Here is a 21,155-nt window from a genome sequence, read left to right as displayed (position 1 = left end):
GGTTAAGGGTGGCTGGGAAATATTATTTTAATACAGAAAGCCACATGACTTAACTAAAAATTATGCATTCTATTACTAAAGAAGGAAGGGACAATAGTAGAAAGCCAACAGTTTCTGCCCCTTTATTATTTATTTAATTAAGTTACCTAAATGGTGGAGAACTGTTACACTTTAGAAATAGCAACAGGCCAGTAACTGCTGGAAACAGGTCTGTAAATGCAAGCTTCCCTTGCTCCATGTCTAGGTAACTGGGCAGCCAGTGAAATCTGCACCAATCCCCAGAGCTCCTCAGCAAAATTAAACAACTTTCTTGATAACACATACTTGAGTGACTGCCTTCTCTTCCCCGTATCGCTTTTTTTCTCTCCTACCTGTGTTTCCTGGGACCATCTCCCAAATAAACTGTTCTCTGTCTCTTTAAATATATATATATATATGCATGTGTGTTTGTGTGTGTGTGTGGGTATATATGCATCAGCTATTTAGAATATATATTCAGAGAGACAGAGAATGGCATATATATTTATATTTATACATATAATTTCTATAACATACATATAAATTAAATATATATTATAAAAATATATATGATTATGGAAAAATAATCTTTAAAACTTAATTTTATAAAAATGAAGAGCAAACTTTCAGGATCACTAGTAAGTATTCTACATCATATAGCAGACTTAAAGAAACCCTCTTTCTGTACTTTCAGTTCATATCTTTTCAGACAGATTCATTATTATTTTTACATAGGTCAGCTATAGACCCATCTCAGTGGATTCCTAGTGGATAATTAATTTCTTAGTAAAGTACTCAAAACAAAAGGACATTGACATCCAGAGAGTATTTCAGTAATCATGGCCAGAGTGATGCTGGTGTTTTATAGCAAAGAACATTCTGCTCATTAATGTACTCATAGCAAAAAACAACCGTCTTGTAACATGGGCATGTTTTGTAGCTCGCTGGCTTCTCCTGTGGCTTTGTTAAACACAGGAATCTTAAATGGGCTTATTGACTTTTTCCAATCCACATCAGCGTACCTCTCTTCTAAATAGCTGGTAGTAGAGGCTGCTGTATTCCATTGTTAGCAACACTTACTAAAATCAGTAATAGAACAGTGGGAGTAAAATCACAGAGGGGTATAAAAACTAGCACACTAAAATATTAAAGTCCAACTGTGAAAGCTTTCCATGATATTTTTTCTATATCAAAATGTGTTTTAAACACTTTTTGAGTATTATTATAATTAACTATAGTAGCTTTGTAAGCAGTTCCTTTTGTAAGAGAAAAACCTACCATCACTTAGAGGTTACTAGTTTTTGACATTGAGCTCTTAAGTGGGTAATTATATTTATTGAGAGGTGATGCTCACTTGACCACTTGGTGTTTCGTTTTGGGCCAAGGGGAAACAAGGCAGGTGAAGTGTTTTTATTTACAATGTAACAGATATTGCTATTGTGACTCCATTTCTCAGGCATAGTTGGTTAACTGAATGTTTTTTTTCCAGAAACTGAAATGTTCCTCTCTTTCCTGTTCTTGGGAAATTAAAAGCTTCTACCTTAGAGAAATGAGTGATACATTATCCACTCGCTCTAAATTGAACCCATTTGGAGCTATTTGCATCTTGTAGAAACCTACAGCTGAGTGCTCTGCTTAGAGGTGTAATGAGTGGTTGTCACAACACACTGGAGGTGGCCCCATAACAAAATGATCCCCTGTCAATCCTCTCACAGGAAATGCTTTGGCAACCTGTAATTCCGCCTCAGTATTAACATCCTGCCTGGGTTTTGTTAAATGGCACTTTCTAGGAAGTAGATCTGGGGAACTTATGTTTAATAATGTTTTAAGAGGAATATGTGATGGAAGTTTTAGAAAGCATCACATGGGGTTAACAGTGATTTGTCATTTGTTTCTAATTAAAGGACCTAATCTCTTATCATTGAAGCAGTCTTTTTTTTTATACTAAAGGCACAGATGTGAATGGAAACATATTAATGAGATGTCATACTACATAGTCATTTAGTGTTTTGTTTAACTTAAACATAGCAGAAAATGTGTGTCTAAGTAGACACATGTAATGACATCCTGATAGAATTATAATTTCCTGCATTTGCATAATCTTCAGTAAAATTCACACTAGGTTCACCTTGCATTGCTAATTTCATTTCCCAAATCTGCATTTTTAGAAAATTAAAGAAAAGTCAGACCCGAAGTATTATGGGAAGAGAAAGGATTTATTGTTAGTTCCTTCACATTAAAGCTGGAATTGTAATTTAAATATTTGAGTGCCAGGTGTTCTAAAAAGTGACAGGAAGTGTTCAAACCGACAGAAAGCTTTGCATTTTCTGAAGTTATTTAAAATACTCCAGGCTAAATCATCTTAAGAGCTTGGCAGATCTTTGCTTTGAGATAGAGCAGAACTGTGACTTGTGGGCCTGAAAAATCATGTTTGATCAGGTGCCCTGGTGTGCCCAGTTGTAGGATTCCATGAGCTATGACTTGCAAGAGTCAGTCAGGTAATTGGGCAATGAGGGAAGCAGCAGGAGCAACCCTATTTAACTGCCGCCTGACGTGTGCCACACGAGTCTCCATTAGCCCAGCAAGACAGCTCTGGATGCAGGTTAAAACCAGGTGATCTCCAAATAGTTGGGGGGTGTGGAAAGACACGAAATTAAACATCTACCTCAGATTATTAGTGTGGTTGTGAAATAATTAGGAAAGCCTAATTATTCCAAGGACTTTTTAAAAGGTATTTCAAAAAATATTTTCCAAGCTCTGTCTATGGAATATTGTGTTTCCAAGATCTCATTCATTTAATTAAAAAATTTTTTTTGAACATTACAATGAGCTAGACATTGCTAGGGAGAAACTTATGAGTGTTCCTGCTCTCACACATGACAAAAACACATTTTTTTACATGGATAAGTTATTTTGTACTAATACAAATGTTCACAAATCCTGTTGTTCCTTGAATTGCCCTTAAGCTCACACCTAAGGTCTAAACATCACAGCAGCTTTAATGGTCTCACCTGGTTACACACTGGCACTACTTACCCATGCCTAGTTAGACACAAAATAAACTGCTAGATTAAAGGGGGATGGATTTTACAGTTTTACAATGCAAGCTATAAAGTGTTGATTACAGTTGGTTGATTTCATAAACTGTGATAGCCAACAAGGATAATTCAAGTATTCAAATAAACAGTTCTCAAGTTTCTTTGTACAGCAATAATACATATTAAAAGAACATTTATGTCAATGTATAAACCTTTGGGCCACATCATAAGAGATCTCAATTCAAAAGTTTTGAATTCTGACTGGAATTCTGCATTTTTCAGTCACCAAAGATTATTAGGAGTTACCATGAGATCAACCTTGAAATACTCTGGTTTGGTTGTCAACTTTTGTATTAAGATTCTCTGATGTAGACTCACTGTAAAGTGTATTAATAATTATCAACAAAGATGGCTTATTTATATATACAAGATTTTGAGCCACAATATTATTTTTTATGTATTTAATAATTCATTAAGGATCACATTTATATCTGTAATTTCCAGAAGGCAAACAACTTTTTGGTGATTTTCTTAGGCATTTGACCATTTTATTTCCTAGTAAGCAAGCCTAGCACACATGCTATTGATATGGGAGCGGGGGAAGGGGAGTGCTTGGAGGAGAAGGGCGGGTCCCTAGCTAGCGCTCCACCCCCGGGCCTGTGCCCACGGACCTAGGTGAGGACTCAAATGTTGCATTTTCCAAGACCACCGTGGCCCGCCACGCCCCCATCCCGTGCCTATAAAAACCCAGGGACCCTAGCAGGCAGAAACACAGGCCGCTGGATGTCAAGAGGAACACACCAGCGGAAGAACACACAAGCGTCTGGATGTTCAGTGGCACACACCGCGGAAGGACACACGGGCAGACACAAGCAGACGCCACCAGGCCATCGACCGGTGGTACAACATGGAGTTCCGCCGAGGGTGGACAAAGGAGAGCCCAGCTGCTGAGCGGCCTGACTCCAGGTAAAACCACCTTCCCACTCTATCCATCTTCTGGCTTAGCCCATCTATCTGCTGAGCGTTGCTTCCACTGAAAACCTTGCACTCATTCTCCAAGCCCACGTGTGTTCCGATTTTTCTGGTACAGTAAGAAAGGAACCCAGGATACAGCAAAGCCCTCTGTCCTTGCAATAAGTCAGAGGGTCTAATTGAGCTGGTTAACACAAGCCACCAATGGATGGGTAAACTGAAAAAGCACACTGTAACACACGGCCACTGGAGCGTCAGCTGTAAACTCTCACCCCTAGATGCTGCTGTGCGGTTGGAGCCCCACAGCCTGCCCCTCCGCATGCGCCCCCTAGAGGTCTGAGCAACAGGGGCACCGAAGCACACCACTTCCCCATCGCAGCCCTGCAAGGGGAACAAGGGAACTTTGCCCGTGTCACTATCTCTATGGGACAAAGGTGCTTTTCAGAAAAGAATTAACTTGAAAAGCAAAAGCAGTGTTTTGTGGCTGACAAATGTTGTAGATTTTATTGATCCCTATGAATTTATTTATTTAGTCTTTAAATTTTTAGTAAAAGCCAATGATAGGTAGACTTGTGGGAACATTATATTTTTAAATTTATTTTTTATTATAATTTTTTATTTTAAACTGTTATTGAGATAATTAATTCACAAACAGTGGTACAAAATTACACAGTTTCTGAATATACTTTATCCAATTTCCCTCAGTGGTAACATCTTACAAAATCATATTAATACAGGGCAACCAGGATATTGGTGTTGGTATAACCCACTGGTTTTACTCAGATTCCCCCAGTTTCACCTGTATTCATTCTTTTGTGTGTGTCATCGTGTTTTTTGTTAGCATCCTATTGTTTTTGTTTTGTTTTTTGCTTTTGATCTTTTCCTACTTTTCTCCCTTCTTTATTAAAATTAGAGAAGAGTATATAAACTAACTTAGCAGAACACATGAGTACCCACTACACAGATCTAATAACAAGGTGAAATTCCTAAGTATATCTCTTAGGTATCCATTCTTCCTCCTTTCCCCTCAGAAGTATGTAGCATTTCATATTCAACATTTTTAATACTTCACTACATATACAGTTAGAAATAAGAAATATTTGTTAAGATTTTACTGGTATCAAATTCTAAATAAATGGTATCATAAAGTATATTCACTTTGCACTTTCCTTTTCACTCAACTTTATGTTTGATATTTATCAATTTCAATATCTATAACTTTAAATCATACTTTGTAGCTGCTCTCTAATATTCTGTAGGTAAGCATAACTTACTGTATTTGCTTTGGGTTGAACATTGAGGTTATTTCCATGATTACAACTGAGTCTTCAATGGATATTCTTAATGTGAGAGAGTTGCCTTGGGATGTATAACTAGATGTGTACTTGTCAGATAATAAGATAGGTACATCTACAACTTCCCTAAATATTGGCAAATAGTTCTCTATATGGTGTGCATTTACACTTGATAGAAATGTGCTAGAGTTACTATTTGTCCTCATTATTTGCATTGTCTGATTTTTAAATCCTTTGCCAACCTGGTGGGCTCAGTACTTATGTATTAGGAAATGACAATTCCCATATTTATAAAATGAAGAGAATAATAATACCCCCCTCACAAGTTGTGGTTAGATTTAAATGTGATAATCCATATGAAAGCACTTAGCATGCTATCTGGCACTCAGTAGAAATTCAAATGTTTCACCACAAAATGTGAAAAGTGCAGTGTCCTGATTTTAAATGGGATTGATCAAGATGTCTTCTTTTTTTTTTGTTTTGTTTTTTATTTTTTATTTTATTTTTATTTTTTTATTTTTTATTATACTTTAAGTTTTAGGGTACATGTGCACATTGTGCAGGTTAGTTACATATGTATACATGTGCCATGCTGGTGCACTGCACCCACTAACTCGTCATCTAGCATTAGGTATATATCCCGATGCTATCCCTCCCACCTCCCCCCACCCCACAACAGTCCCCAGAGTGTGATATTCCCCTTCCTGTGTCCATGTGATCTCATTGTTCAATTCCCACCTATGAGTGAGAATATGCAGTGTTTGGTTTTTTGTTCTTGCGATAGTTTACTGCGAATGATGATTTCCAATTTCATCCATGTCCCTACAAAGGACATGAACTCATCATTTTTTATGGCTGCATAGTATTCCATGGTGTATATGTGCCACATTTTCTTAATCCAGTCTATCATTGTTGGACATTTGGGTTGGTTCCAAGTCTTTGCTATTGTGAATAGTGCCACAATAAACATACATGTGCATGTGTCTTTATAGCTGCATGATTTATAGTCCTTTGGGTATATACCCAGTAATGGGATGGCTGGGTCAAATGGTATTTCTAGTTCTAGATCCCTGAGGAATCGCCACACTGACTTCCACAATGGTTGAACTAGTTTACAGTCCCACCAACAGTGTAAAAGTGTTCCTATTTCTCCACATCCTCTCCAGCACCTGTTGTTTCCTGACTTTTTAATGATCGCCATTCTAACTGGTGTGAGATGGTATCTCATTGTGGTTTTGATTTGCATTTCTCTGATGGCCAGTGATGATGAGCATTTTTTCATGTGTCTTTTGGCTGCATAAATGTCTTCTGAGAAGTGTCTGTTCATGTCCTTCGCCCACTTTTTGATGGGGTTGTTTGTTTTTTTCTTGTAAATTTGTTTGAGTTCATTGTAGATTCTGGATATTAGCCCTTTGGAGGGCTAATTCTGGAGCATGAAGGGTTGCTGTTTTGGTACCAGTACCATGCTGTTTTGGTTACTGTAACCTTGTAGTATAGTTTGAAGTCAGGTAGTGTGATGCCTCCAGCTTTGTTCTTTCGGCTTAGGATTGACTTGGCGATGCAGGCTCTTTTTTGGTTCCATATGAACTTTAAAGTAGTTTTTTCCAATTCTGTGAAGAAAGGCATTGGTAGCTTGATGGGGATGGCATTGAATCTGTAAATTACCTTGGGCAGTATGGCCATTTTCACGATATTGATTCTTCCTACCCATGAGCATGGAATGTTCTTCCATTTGTTTGTATCCTCTTTTATTTCCTTGAGCAGTGGTTTGTAGTTCTCCTTGAAGAGGTCCTTCACATCCCTTGTAAGTTGGATTCCTAGGTATTTTATTCTCTTTGAAGCAATTGTGAATGGGAGTTCATTCATGATTTGGCTCTCTGTTTCTCTGTTGTTGGTGTATAAGAATGCTTGTGATTTTTGTACATTGATTTTGTATCCTGAGACTTTGCTGAAGTTGCTTATCAGCTTAAGGAGATTTTGGGCTGAGACAGTGGGGTTTTCTAGATATACAATCATGTCGTCTGCAAACAGGGACAATTTGACTTCCTCTTTTCCTAATTGAATACCCTTTATTTCCTTCTCCTGCCTAATTTCCCTGGCCAGAACTTCCAACACTATGTTGAATAGGAGTGGTGAGAGAGGGCATCCCTGTCTTGTGCCAGTTTTCAAAGGGAATGCTTCCAGTTTTTGCCCATTCAGTATGATATTGGCTGTGGGTTTGTCATAGATAGCTCTTATTATTTTGAAATACGTCCCATCAATACCTAATTTATTGAGAGTTTTTAGCATGAAGGGTTGTTGAATTTTGTCAAAGGCTTTTTCTGCATCTACTGAGATAATCATGTGGTTTTTGTCTTTGGCTCTGTTTATATGCTGGATTACATTTATTGATTTGCATATATTGAACCAGCCTTGCATCCCAGGGATGAAGCCCACTTGATCATGGTGGATAAGCTTTTTGATGTGCTGCTGGATTCGTTTTGCCAGTATTTTATTGAGGATTGTTGCATCAATGTTCATCAAGGATATTGGTCTAAAATTCTCTTTTTTTGTTGTGTCTCTGCCTGGCTTTGGTATCAGAATGATGCTGGCCTCATAAAATGAGTTAGGGAGGATTCCCTCTTTTTCTATTGATTGGAATAGTTTCAGAAGGAATGGTACCAGTTCCTCCTTGTACCTCTGGTAGAATTCGGCTGTGAATCCATCTGGTCCTGGACTCTTTTTGGTTGGTAAGCTATTGATTATTGCCACAATTTCAGCTCCTGTTATTGGTCTATTCAGAGATTCAACTTCTTCCTGGTTTAGTCTTGGGAGAGTGTATGTGTCCAGGAATTTATCCATTTCTTCTAGATTTTCTAGTTTATTTGCGTAGAGGTGTTTGTAGTATTCCCTGATGGTAGTTTGTATTTCTGTGGGATCGGTGGTGATATCCCCTTTATCATTTTTTATTGCGTCTATTTGATTCTTCTCTCTTTTTTTCTTTATTAATCTTGCTAGTGGTCTATCAATTTTGTTGATCCTTTCAAAAAACCAGCTCCTGGATTCATTAATTTTTTGAAGGGTTTTTTATGTCTCTATTTCCTTCAGTTCTGCTCTGATCTTAGTTATTTCTTGCCTTCTGCTAGCTTTTGAATGTGTTTGCTCTTGCTTTTCTAGTTCTTTTAATTGTGATGTTAGGGTGTCAATTTTGGATCTTTCCTGCTTTCTCTTGTGGGCATTTAGTGCTATAAATTTCCCTCTACACACTGCTTTGAATGCGTCCCAGAGATTCTGGTATGTTGTGTCTTTGTTCTCGTTGGTTTCAAAGAACATCTTTATTTCTGCCTTCATTTCATTATGTACCCAGTAGTCATTCAGGAGCAGGTTGTTCAGTTTCCATGTAGTTGAGCGGTTTTGAGTGAGATTCTTAATCCTGAGTTCTAGTTTGATTGCACTGTGGTCTGAGAGATAGTTTGTTATAATTTCTGTTCTTTTACATTTGCTGAGGAGAGCTTTACTTCCCAGTATGTGGTCAATTTTGGAATAGGTGTGGTGTGGTGCTGAAAAAAATGTATATTCTGTTGATTTGGGGTGGAGAGTTCTGTAGATGTCTATTAGGTCCGCTTGGTGCAGAGCTGAGTTCAATTCCTGGGTATCCTTGTTGACTTTCTGTCTCGTTGATCTGTCTAATATTGACAGTGGCGTGTTGAAGTCTCCCATTATTAATGTGTGGGAGTCTAAGTCTCTTTGTAGGTCACTCAGGACTTGCTTTATGAATCTTGGTGCTCCTGTATTGGGTGCATATATATTTAGGATAGTTAGCTCTTCTTGTTGAATTGATCCCTTTACCATTATGTAATGGCCTTCTTTGTCTCTTTTGATCTTTGTTGGTTTAAAGTCTGTTTTATCAGAGACTAGGATTGCAACCCCTGCCTTTTTTTGTTTTCCATTGGCTTGGTAGATCTTCCTCCAACCTTTTATTTAGAGCCTATGTGTGTCTCTGCAGGTGAGATGGGTTTCCTGAATACAGCACACTGATGGGTCTTGACTCTTTATCCAATTTGCCAATCTGTGTCTTTTAATTGGAGCATTTAGTCCATTTACATTTAAAGTTAATATTGTTACGTGTGAATTTGATCCTGTCATTATGATGTTAGCTGGTGATTTTGCTCGTTAGTTGATGCAGTTTCTTCCTAGTCTCGATGGTCTTTACATTTTGGCATGATTTTGCAGTGGCTGGTACCGGTTGTTCCTTTCCATGTTTAGTGCTTCCTTCAGGAGCTCTTGTAAGGCAGGCCTGGTGGTGACCAAGTCTCTCAGCATTTGCTTGTCTGTAAAGTATTTTATTCCTCCTTCACTTATGAAGCTTAGTTTGGCTGGATATGAAATTCTGGGTTGAAAATTCTTTTCTTTAAGAATGTTGAATATTGGCCCCCACTCTCTTCTGGCTTGTAGGGTTTCTGCCGAGAGATCCGCTGTTAGTCTGATGGGCTTCTCTTTGAGGGTAACCCGACCTTTCTCTCTGGCTGCCCTTAACATTTTTTCCTTCATTTCAACTTTGATGAATCTGACAATTATGTGTCTTGGAGTTGCTCTTCTCGAGGATTATCTTTGTGGCGTTCTCTGTATTTCCTGAATCTGAATGTTGGCCTGCCTTGCTAGATTGGGGAAGTTCTCCTGGATAATATCCTGCAGAGTATTTTCCAATTTGGTTCCATTCTCCCCATCACTTTCAGGTACACCAATCAGATGTAGATTTGGTCTTTTCACATAGTCCCATATTTCTTGGAGGCTTTGCTCATTTCTTTTTATTCTTTTTTCTCTAGACTTCCCTTCTCGCTTCATTTCATTCATTTCATCGTCCATCGCTGATACGCTTTCTTCCAGTTGATTGCATCGGCTCCTGAGGCTTCTGCATTCTTCACATAGTTCTCGAGCCTTGGTTTTCAGCTCCATCAGCTCCTTTAAGCACTTCTCTGTATTGGTTATTCTAGTTATACATTCTTCTAAATTTTTTTCAAAGTTTTCAACTTCTTTGCCTTTGGTTTGAATGTCCTCTCGTAGCTCAGAGTAATCTGATCGTCTGAAGCTTTCTTCTCTCAACTCCTCAAAGTCATTCTCCATCCAGCTTTGTTCCGTTGCTGGTGAGGAACTGCGTTCCTTTGGAGGAGGAGAGGCGCTCTGCTTTTTAGAGTTTCCAGTTTTTCTGTTCTGTTTTTTCCCCATCTTTGTGGTTTTATCTACTTTTGGTCTTTGATGATGGTGATGTACAGATGGGTTTTTGGTGTGGATGTCCTTTCTGTTTGTTAGTTTTCCTTCTAACAGAGAGGACCCTCAGCTGCTGGTCTGTTGGAGTACCCTGCCGTGTGAGGTGTCAGTGTGCCTCTGCTGGGGGGTGTCTCCCAGTTAGGCTGCTCAGGGGTCAGGGGTCAGGGACCCACTTGAGGAGGCAGTCTGCCCGTTCTCAGATCTCCAGCTGCGTGCTGGGAGAACCACTGCTCTCTTCAAAGCTGTCAGACAGGGATATTTAAGTCTGCAGAGGTTACTGCTGTGTTTTTGTTCGTCTGTGCCCTGCCGGCAGAGGTGGAGCCTACAGAGGCAGGCAGGCCTCCTTGAGCTGTGGTGGGCTCCACCCAGTTCCAGCTTCCCGGCTGCTTTGTTTACCTAATCAAGCCTGGGCAATGGCGGGCGCCCCTCCCCCAGCCTCGCTGCCGCCCTGCAGCTTGATCTCAGACTGCTGTGCTAGCAATCAGCGAGACTCCATGGGCGTAGGACCCTCCAAGCCAGGTGCGGGATATAATCTTGTGGTGCACCGTTTTTTAAGCCCATCGGAAAAGCGCAGTATTCGGGTGGGAGTGACCCGATTTTCCAGGTGCCGTCCGTCACTCCTTTCTTTGACTCAGAAAGGGAACTCCCTGACCCCCTGCGCTTCCCAAGTGAGGCAATGCCTCGCCCTGCTTCGGCTTGCGCACGGTGCGCACACCCACTGACCTGCGCCCACTGTCTGGCACTCCCTAGTGAGATGAACCCGGTACCTCAGATGGAAATGCAGAAATCACCCGTCTTCTGCATCGCTCACGCTGGGAGCTGTAGACCGGAGCTGTTCCCACTCGGCCGTCTTGGCTCCTCCAAGATGTCTTCTTAGGTGAAATCATTGATGGTGCTTGATTACAGCTCCTGTCATTTGGGGTAGATGGTTTAGCATGACTCATGGTTTAGCAGGCTCATGAAATATGACACTGACTGTTTTCTCTGATCCTAAGAAAACAGTACTCCTCCTAGCCCCAGTAAATACTATGACTGAGTCCTGTGACCTAGTCCTACCTTGGAAGGCATAAGACATTCAGGATAATGAAAGTGCAAAGATCCTGGGAGCAACTGGAAGGGAGGTGGTGCTCTAATAGGATACAGTAGGCAGATGGTTGGAAAGACCAGTTAAGATGTTATCATGAGATTCCAGAATTTCCCTATTTCCTACGAACAGGCCTAGGACTCAATTTCTGAGGGTACATTAGATTTTACGTAAAGCCACATATATGGCTGTACAGAATTGGCTTTATCATCCTTAGCAGAGTGGATGTCCATTGAAGAGAGAAACTAACTTTTAGCAGAATGCTGTCTGACTACGAACGTGAGATTGGTGAACAGGGTGTGACTATTTAATTGTGGCTCAAACTATCCAAATGATTAGGAGTCTAGTGTATGTTTTGCTAAAAAATTAGATGACTTTCTCAGCAAAGGTTTACCTGGAAGTAATGAGCAAAAATATATGCAGGTGGGTCTGATACCATTGCTATTAAGAGAAAGTCTTTTAGAATCAGAAGGGCTTGCCATCTACAACTATGTGATCTTGGAAAAGTTATGTAATCTCCTTTTTCAGTTTTTTCACCCTTAAAAGTATAACATGAGTTCATTATGAGGACTAAGTAAAACATCTCATCAAAGCAAAAAAGTATACACGACAAATTTTGACATATCTGCTAAAAAATTATCTCTGAAAGAGAATGTTTACACCGTGCCAGAATTTGGATGAAAAAGTGGTAAATCTATGTTGACTTGAAAATGACAAAAACCAGGAGAGAAACTAACTTAAACCATAAAAGAGTTCAGACAAATTTGATTACGTTTGAGAGGCAAGGTATGGCAGAATCGATGAAGTGCAATTTTATGAATTCAGAATTGAAAGACCTCAGAAAAGAATGAGATAGAGGCAGTGTCCTGCCAACTCTCTGCATATCCCCAGGTACACACATCAAGAGGTGATCAGTTGTGTTTCTGGAAGGAAACCAAAAGCACACACCTCTGGGATTCTAAATACACTTTACAGAAGGAGATATTTGTGGAGGTGTGAGTACAGTTGAAGGGATCCACAAGAGGGAACATAAACTGAGGGAGTACTGAAAGATGGCAACCATTACCATTACTAAGTTGGAAACGGCAAAGGAGGGACTAGTGTTTTAAGAGCTTGGAGAGAGCTAGAGCATCGGCCAGGAAAGTCCGACAGAAGCTGTAGCTGAGTAACTATTCCTCCAAATTTCATGTGTATGAAAATCACATTGGGGTATTGTTAAATGGAAGATTATGATTCTGTTGCTTTGTGGCGGTGACGTGCTGGCAGCACTCTGAGACGTGCTGGCAGTCCTCAGAGCCCTCGCTTGCTCTCGGCACCTCCTCTGCCTGGGCTCCCATTTTGGCGGCATTTGAGGAACCCTTCAGCCCACCACTGCAGTGTGGGAGCCCCTTTCTGGGCTGGCCAAGGCTGGAGCCCACTCCCTCAGCTTGCAGGGAGGTGTGGAGGGAGAGGCGTGAGCGGGAACCGGGGGTGTGTGCGGCGCTTGCGGACTAGCTGGAGTTCCGGGTGGGAGTGGGCTTGGCGAGCCCTGCACTCGGAGCAGCCGGCCAGCCCTGCTGGCCCTGGGCAATGAGGGACTTAGCACCCGGGCCAGTGGCTACGGAGTGTGCACTGGGTCCCCCAGCAGTGCCAGCCCACCGGTGCTGTGCTCGATTTCTCACCGAGCCTTAGCTGCCTTCCCATGGGGCAGGGCTCGGGACCTGCAGCCCGCCATGCCTGAGCTTCCCACCCACTCCATGGGCTCCTGTGCGGCCTGAGCCTCCCCGACGAGCACCACCCCCTGCTCCACGGTGCCCAGTCCCATCGACCACCCGAGGGCTGAGGAGTGCGAGCACACGGCGAGGGACTGGCAGGCAGCTCCACCTGCAGCCCCAGTGCGGGATCCACTAGGTGAAGCCAGCTGGCCTCCTAAGTCTGGTGGGGACGTGGAGAGTCTTTATGTCTAGCTCAGGGATTGTAAATACACCAATCAGCACCCTGTGTCTAGCTCAGGGTTTGTGAGTGCACCAATCGACACTCTATCTAGCTGCTCTGGTGGGGCCTTGGAGAACCTTTATGTCTAGCTCAGGGATTGTAAATACACCAATCCGCACTCTGTATCTAGTTCAAAGTTTGTAAACACACCAATCAGCACCCTGTGTTTAGCTGAAGGTTTGTGAGTGCACCAATCGACACTCTGTATCTAGCTGCTCTGGTGGGGCCTTGGAGAACCTGTGTGTGGAAACTCTGTATCTAACTAATCTGATGGGGACGTGGAGAACCTTTGTGTCTACCTCAGGGATTGTAAACGCACCAATCAGCGCCCTGTCAAAACAGGCCACTGGCTCTACCAATCAGCAGGATGTGGGTGGGGCCAGATAAGAGAATAAAAGCAGGCTGCCCTAGCCAGCATTGGCAACCCAATCGGGTCCCCTTCAACACTGTGGAAGCTTTGTTCTTTCACTCTTTGCAATAAATCTTGCTACTGCTTACTCTTTGGGTCCACGCTGCTTTTATGAGCTGTAACACTCACCGCGAAGATCTGCAGCTTCACCCCTGAAGCCAGCGAGACCACGAGCCCACCAGGAGGAAGAAACTCCAGACATGCTGCCTTAAGAGCTGTAACACTCACCGCGAAGGTCTGCAGCTTCACTCCTGAGCCAGGGATACCACGAACCCACCAGAAGGAAGAAACTCTGAACACATCCGAACATCAGAAGGAACAAACTCCAGACGCGTCACCTTAAGAGCTGTAACACTCACCGCGAGGGTCTGCGGCTTCATTCTTAAAGTCAGTGAGACCAAGAACCCACCAATTCCGGACACAGCGGGACGCACATTCTGCAGTTCTAACAAGCCCTCAGGTAATTCCAAAGCTATCTCTCTTTGGACCACCCTGTTAGAAGAAAGGTCATAAAGACACTCAATCACGAGCAGGTCCAGGACATCCAAGCAGAGATGCTTCTAGGAAAGAAATACCCTATAGTTTCCTTGTAAATTGGATTCAGAATAGGGGAGATTCAAAGTCCCTTTCCTTTATATACTACTATATCTTAAGACTTATTAAATCAAAACTAAACTTATATTTAGGGAAATAAACAGAACATAAACAAAAACATGATTTCAATCACGGTCTTAAGAAACATTGCTGATACACAAGTCTCCCGTCTTCAAGTCTCAGTACAATTAGGCTTAGAGTACTTTGGGAGGCCGAAGCGGGCGGATCACCAGGTCAGGAGATCGAGACCATTCTGGCTAACACGGTGAAACCCCGTCTCTACTAAAAATACAAAAAATTAGCCAGGCGTGGTGGCGGGCGCCTGTAGTCCCAGCTACTCGGGAGGCTGAGGCAGGAGAATAGCGTGAACCCGGGAGGCGGAGCTTGCAGTGAGCCGAGATTGCGCCACTGCACTCCAGCCTGGGCAACAGAGTGAGACTCTGTCTCAAAAAAAAAAAAAAAAAAAAAAAAAAAGAAAAGAATGGAAAATGTGCTCACCAAAATACTGTAGTACCTATTTCTGGATAATAGAACACGTGATTTTTATTTTCTTCTTGTTTATATCTTTTTTTTATTGTTTTTATAATCAATGTATAACAAAAACAATAAAAATGCAAAAATGGACAAATACAAAGTATTTAATCATATTTAAATTCCAATGTAGCATTCTGTATATAGTTCTGTAAATCAATAGATATCTCTAATATTTCAAGGAAATATTTAAAAACATAAATCATTATACCACCCACATGAGAAAAGCCTTCAAAGTGTCACAGTAAAATAAACTTTTGTATCATAAATAAATCATCAAGTTTGAGATTGAAAGCTTCTATATTGCTTCCTAGAGCTGTTGATAAAACAATGCAAAAAAAAATGAGTACTTTGGAGAAAATGAGCTGCTGGAGAAACAAACATAATATGTCACTAATTACAGGTGATTCTTTACCTTGTCAGGCAGACGTGGCTATTATATTCATAGGAGGGAGGAGAAAAAATATCATCAACTGTTAAAACAGGCACAAAGAAATAGCCCTTGTCTCCCCAGCTGTGGAATTGTCCTGACATTCCTCATTTGGCTCTCTACTCTTTCCATTCTTTCACTCAAATAAGTCAGCACTTTTTATTGCTTACAGCTGATTTCCAGAACTCCAGCTTCTGCTTTAGCATCACTTCTAAGTTGCCTTACACTTTCAAGAACTTTGATACAGTTCTCTTGTTATGCCTACTGTTGAAAAGTAAAGCAGGGAGGGGCAAGGGTAATTTTTCATATCCTCAAAGAATGGTGCAAATATGCCTATTGATTTCTCAGATTTTATATGGGGAAATAAGCATGAGGTGAAATCTGAATAAATAAGCAAAGATCAGAATGGCATCAGCCTTCTCAATGGAAATATCATCTTCCAAGTCGAGAAGGAAAAAAGATTTTAAACATAGGATCTTATATACAGTCAAACTAGCATTAAATGACAGGGCAAGAAAGAGACATTTCCAGAAATGCAATGGTTTAGAAAACTTCCCTATGCATGCTGTACCAGAAATAAATTCTAAAGGTGATATTCCAGCAATTTTTTTAATTCAAAAAAGAAGATATAGGGAAAAAGAGAAAAATTAAGAAAAAACAAAAGAGTAAATACACAGCTATGACTAATTTTTTTTGATGCACAATGATAAAGTAATAATTTTTTAAAAGTAAAATGCTTTTGAATTAAATATAAGTGATAATAAATGGGGGAAGACAAATGAAAATATCCTAATGAGATTCTTAAATTTGGGGAGGAAGAGTAATGAAGAAAAGACAGTGAATAATGTAAAGGTTACTCAGTCCTTTGTTACTTCTCTTGAGCACTAGATTGGAAGTTCAATTTATGACAATATTAAGAAGAAAAATTAGGACAAGAAAAAGGCAAAGAAAAATGGCACCATCATATTTCTAGGTGATATGATGATTTTCCTAGATAATCTGAGGTAATTAACAGAAAAACAACTAGAAGAAATAAGGAAGTCCAAGAAGATACCTGATACGAGATAATATAAAAATTGATAGCTTTCTTATACATCAGGAATGTACACATAGAAAATGTTTAAGAAAAACGTGGGTCCATATACAAAGAAATAACAAACCCCAATAGCTAAATATATAAAATTTGCAAATTATGTATCAAAATAACTATAAAATATCTTAAAAATGTAAAAGAAGACTAGAATAAATGAGGAAAATACATTATGTTCCTAGATAAGAAAATCTAGGTAGTTTTGTATGTTAATTCTCACTAACATTACTAATCTAAAAAGTGTAGATAATATTCCAATTGAAATAGTCACAGAATTTTTTGTAGTCTAAAATTTTGACTGAAGTTTCTATAGAAAATATAAAACAATAATAATGACAAAACTATAAATGTGTTTACTAAACACATATATGGTATGTATTATGTGCCTGGTCTTATTCCAAGTAATTTATGTATGCTAACCCTTTTAATCCTAATAATAGAATTATCAAGTAAGAATTATTTCCCCCTATCTTAGGCATTATAGACACATAGAGGCACATATATGTGAAAACTTTATGACATATTGTAAGAAAAACAAATTCCAATAACGTATCTATTTTTAAAAAATAATGCCTCCCTATTTATATATGCCCAATATTTGAAAACATAAGCTATATTTGCAAGTTAACAAACACATATATACATATTATCTTATATCCACTACATATGTAATACAAATATAAACACTGAAGACACACATCTGTATACACACTTTTTTTTGAGACGGAGTTTCGCTCTTGTTGCCCAGGCTGGAGTGCAATGGTGCGTGATTTCAGCTCACCTCAACCTCTGCCTACTGGGTTCAAGCGATTCTCCTGCCTCAATCTCCTGAGTAGGTGGGATTACAGGCATGTGCCACCATGCCTGGCTAATTTTGTATTTTTGGTAGAGACGCAGTTTCTCCATGTTGGTCAAGTTGGTCACGAACTCCTGACCTCAGGTGACCTGCCCGCCTCAGCCTCCCAAAGTGCTGGGAATACAGGTGTGAGCCACTGCTCCCCTCCCACACTTCTTTTTATATAAGGTCGGTGCAAAAGTAATTGCGGGTTTTGCCATTCATTACTTGTGCACCAACCTAATATAGGAATGACAGAGGGAAATTTTGATAGCAAAACTTAAAAATATAAAAATACTATGTCTTTCATTGGACAAAATATTTTGTTTAAATTAAAAATTAGTTTACATCTCCACATTGGGAAGATTGAGAGTCAATGAATGTATATCCCTTAAGAAAGAATTGAAGGTATATATACCTTCCCAGAGTCTTAAACTACAAACATAGGTTTTCAATGAAAACTAAAACCCAAATATGTTTCTATCCTCAGTTTAAATAATCCTAAAATCAAATGTATTTTTCTGTCACTTTTTTGTTTCTATCTTATTGGGATCATAGAAAAACAAATGCTACTTGTTTCAGCTAATACTTGTCCAGGAGATAGTAATGTGAACCAACTAAACAGCTTGCTTTTCAGGATCAACAGTTTGCTCATCAAAACCCATCTCTTAGTGCCTACAATCCAAAGCCCTTAGGTCCATCCTACACAAGCCCTGTCTTCAAGACCTACCTTAATTCATCCAGACTAGGAACTACAACCATTTAAATACACTTCCTCTGTGTCAAGGTAGTATTCTTTCCTACTGCTCTAGATCTACTAAACTTTGTTTGATCAGCAGGTGTTTCTGGTGGTCTTTGGCAAGTTGATCGTAGGCACCTAGTCATTGCATCTCCAGGAGGCCCTTGATATGAGTTAATGCCTAGTTGGATTTTATTAGTTATAGAACAGAGCTAACCCATCATTATTGTTTCAATAACAACTGATCTTTTCCCAGATGTAGACATTTCATATGTCTCTACCTCAATTGTCTATTCACTATAATATATTAATAAATAGCATGGTGACACTGCAATTGGTGTTTCTTAAACCAAATTTATCAGTTGACAATGAATTTAGTTTCTCTTATTGAGTTCTATATTTTTTTACATTTTATCCCCAAATCTCTAGGATCTCAGATGTTTGATGATTGGTTTCTAATTTGTGCTATTTCTAATAACTTCTTCAGAGGAAGGTAGCATTTCTATTGTTTATTAGTCAAGAAGAAATTGCAGGCTATGACAACATGGTGTCATAAAAATAGGCTTATTTTTCTTTTCTTTTAAAAAGAAAAAGCTTAGCATTCCTACCTATGGGTATTCCAACTTGAAGTAATAATAGGATGAGAGTTGGAGCCAACCATTTTGTTTCTCTGCCTTTCTCCCCTACATCCAGTATATAGGAACTCTAGAAGTTCTAATTACCTCTAAATTAATTGGTTGACTTTCCACAGGGACCTTGTATGTACATGCTCTAGGAATTAGCTTTTTATGCTAGCATGTGGAATGTAATATTTTTGTCTTTTTTCCTCTTCTGACTCATTGTGATACTGCCCCACTAATTGTCAATAACTAAAGAGATTTCACCAATCCCTACAATGGTTTCTACTTAGGCCTGAAGAAGCCAAATGAAGGTTGCTATTACCTAAGGCCAGAATTGTGCCAATGGTACACATTTTCTATAGCCCAAGCCCCGGAGAGATCATTGCAATCACAAGCATGGCTGCAGCAGGCAATGATACTATTGCCATCACCTCTGTCTCAGTCATTTGCCATTGCCAAGCTTGCTTTAGCCTCTGTCACTTCCACCTGTGGTGAGATACTGATTAAGTGTTCTCAGTGTCTATGAAAATTATAGAGAAAAAAGTTTCATTCATTTATTGTACCCTCTCCCTCAAGAACCAGGCCTGAGTTCACAAGAGATGGGCCAGCAGAGATACATGTGACCCACATCATTGTTCTGCTCTGAATCACTCTTCACTGACAAAGCCATTGTTTTTGAGCTAGCCCTATTCTCTTTCCTTTAAGATGTCCTCTCTCTCCACACTCACATCTCAGCTTATCCAAATTCACTTTTAATGAGCGCCTTTGACCTGGGCTTCAGATAAATGTAGATATCCTTGAATTCTAAAATTATGTTATAGTCAAGCTGAATCCTCCACTGAAAACAGGGAGAAAAAAAGAAATTATCAAAATGACTTGTGTTCTGTCTTATATTTCAGAAACTTATCTCAAAATGAGTCCTAACAAAAAAAGAAACACATGTACACATACCAGTATCATGCTGGAAGTTTTTTTAAAAAAAATGGTAATTGTACATACTCCAAGTTTATAGCAAAATTTACAAAATGGCAAGAAGAAAGGAACGAGGCTTTCTGACAGAAGCTGCACAGTGCTGATGTCTGCAGTGCCAGTGGCTCTGTGTAGCAGATACTTGGGAAAGAGAATGGTGGGGTCTAATGTTAGCAGCAGTTGGAGCAGCCCCCTAGGGAAGGCCTATAAGGATAACACAATAATAACTGCAGGGTGTACACCAGAGGTTACGTAGCTGTTAGCTGCATTTGAAAAATCAATTAGATAGGCCACAGTGAAGTTTAAACTGGAAAAAGTTGTTTGATATTTTAGTAGATAAGCTCACTAGGAAACTTGAAGTTGATGACTTCAAGGAAAATTGCTAGTAAGGATTCTGTGGAGGAACCAAGGCAAATGTTGAGAGACAGGTATTTATTGTTTATGTAAGAAGGGCTTTAAGGAATACTGCTTTAAAAATAGTAAAAATTATGGACTAGGGATTAGATGAAGACACAGAAAGAAACAATTTTCTTTCTCTGAGGGCATTCTCTGGTTTTCAGATGCCCAGTTCTAGAATTATAATTTCTCTCATGTGGGTCTTGAGAGAGGTTAAAGAAGTGCTTTTGAGGATAGTTGCCAAACAGTAGCCTTCCTTCTGAAAAGCATGCCCATCGATGGCATTGGAGTCAGGAAATGAGGAACTGACTTATCGCTCCTGTTACTTTGAGTTTCTATTCTTCATCTATGATGAAATGATCATGTAACTTTCAGGTTTGTTTTGAAACTAAACAAGGCACCTAAAACTATATGAAATCGCCTAGCACTGATTTTTATTTCAAAACAAGCATGCACTAAACACATAATGGATTTTTAATTTTTAATAATTTTATTTTCCCAAGTTATTATTCAAGAAAAATGAAACCCTCGGGGAAGTTGAAAGAATGGTACAACAGACATATGTAAACTCTTCAGCAAGTTTATTTAATTGTTACCATGTTGCCATATCAACCTCCCCTTCAGTCTCTTGCTTCCTCCTAAAATACCTGAGCATGTATTGCCAAAGAACAAGAATATTCGTCTATATAACCACATACACTAAAATATTCAGGAAATTTAACATTGATCCAATTCTGCTATCTCATGTGCATTCCACTCTCAGTTTCCCCCCATTACTGTAATAATGTTCTCTGTAACTTGTTTTGTTGTTTCTTTGTGTTTTCATTTTGCTTTTTTTCAGGATGCAACCAAGGGCCGCATGTTGCATGTATTGGTTCTCCAGTATTTTAAAATTAATAAACTGCTATTTTAAG

General features: G+C 39.6%; 1 long non-coding RNA gene across 2 annotated transcripts in view, besides 2 other annotated features; it reads left to right on the top strand.

The window, feature by feature from the left end:
• Positions 940-2,738: an enhancer, noted in NCBI's record as "VISTA enhancer hs609". NCBI's record gives its function as "enhancer in: forebrain[9/18] | limb[9/18]" and the evidence as "EXISTENCE:transgenic organism evidence [ECO:0001131][PMID:17130149]".
• The window catches only part of LOC105373667 (uncharacterized), a 210,228-nt gene continuing 192,895 nt past the window's right edge, over positions 3,823-21,155 (top strand). For both annotated transcript variants that reach the window (XR_923422.4, XR_923421.3), the window contains exon 1: positions 3,823-4,022. This is a non-coding gene — a long non-coding RNA (uncharacterized LOC105373667). The remainder of the gene's footprint in view (positions 4,023-21,155) is intronic.
• Positions 10,633-11,209: an enhancer, noted in NCBI's record as "OCT4-NANOG-H3K27ac-H3K4me1 hESC enhancer chr2:147163533-147164109 (GRCh37/hg19 assembly coordinates)". NCBI's record gives its function as "activates a minimal SCP1, AML or CMV promoter by ChIP-STARR-seq in naive and primed H9 embryonic stem cells {active_cell/tissue: H9 hESC(naive and primed)}" and the evidence as "EXISTENCE:reporter gene assay evidence [ECO:0000049][PMID:30033119]".

This window comes from Homo sapiens, chromosome 2 (genome assembly GCF_000001405.40).
Source record: "Homo sapiens chromosome 2, GRCh38.p14 Primary Assembly".
NCBI classification, from domain to species: Eukaryota; Metazoa; Chordata; class Mammalia; order Primates; family Hominidae; genus Homo; species Homo sapiens.
Note: the sequence above shows the minus strand (reverse complement) of the source record. Positions and strands in the feature narration are given on the sequence as shown.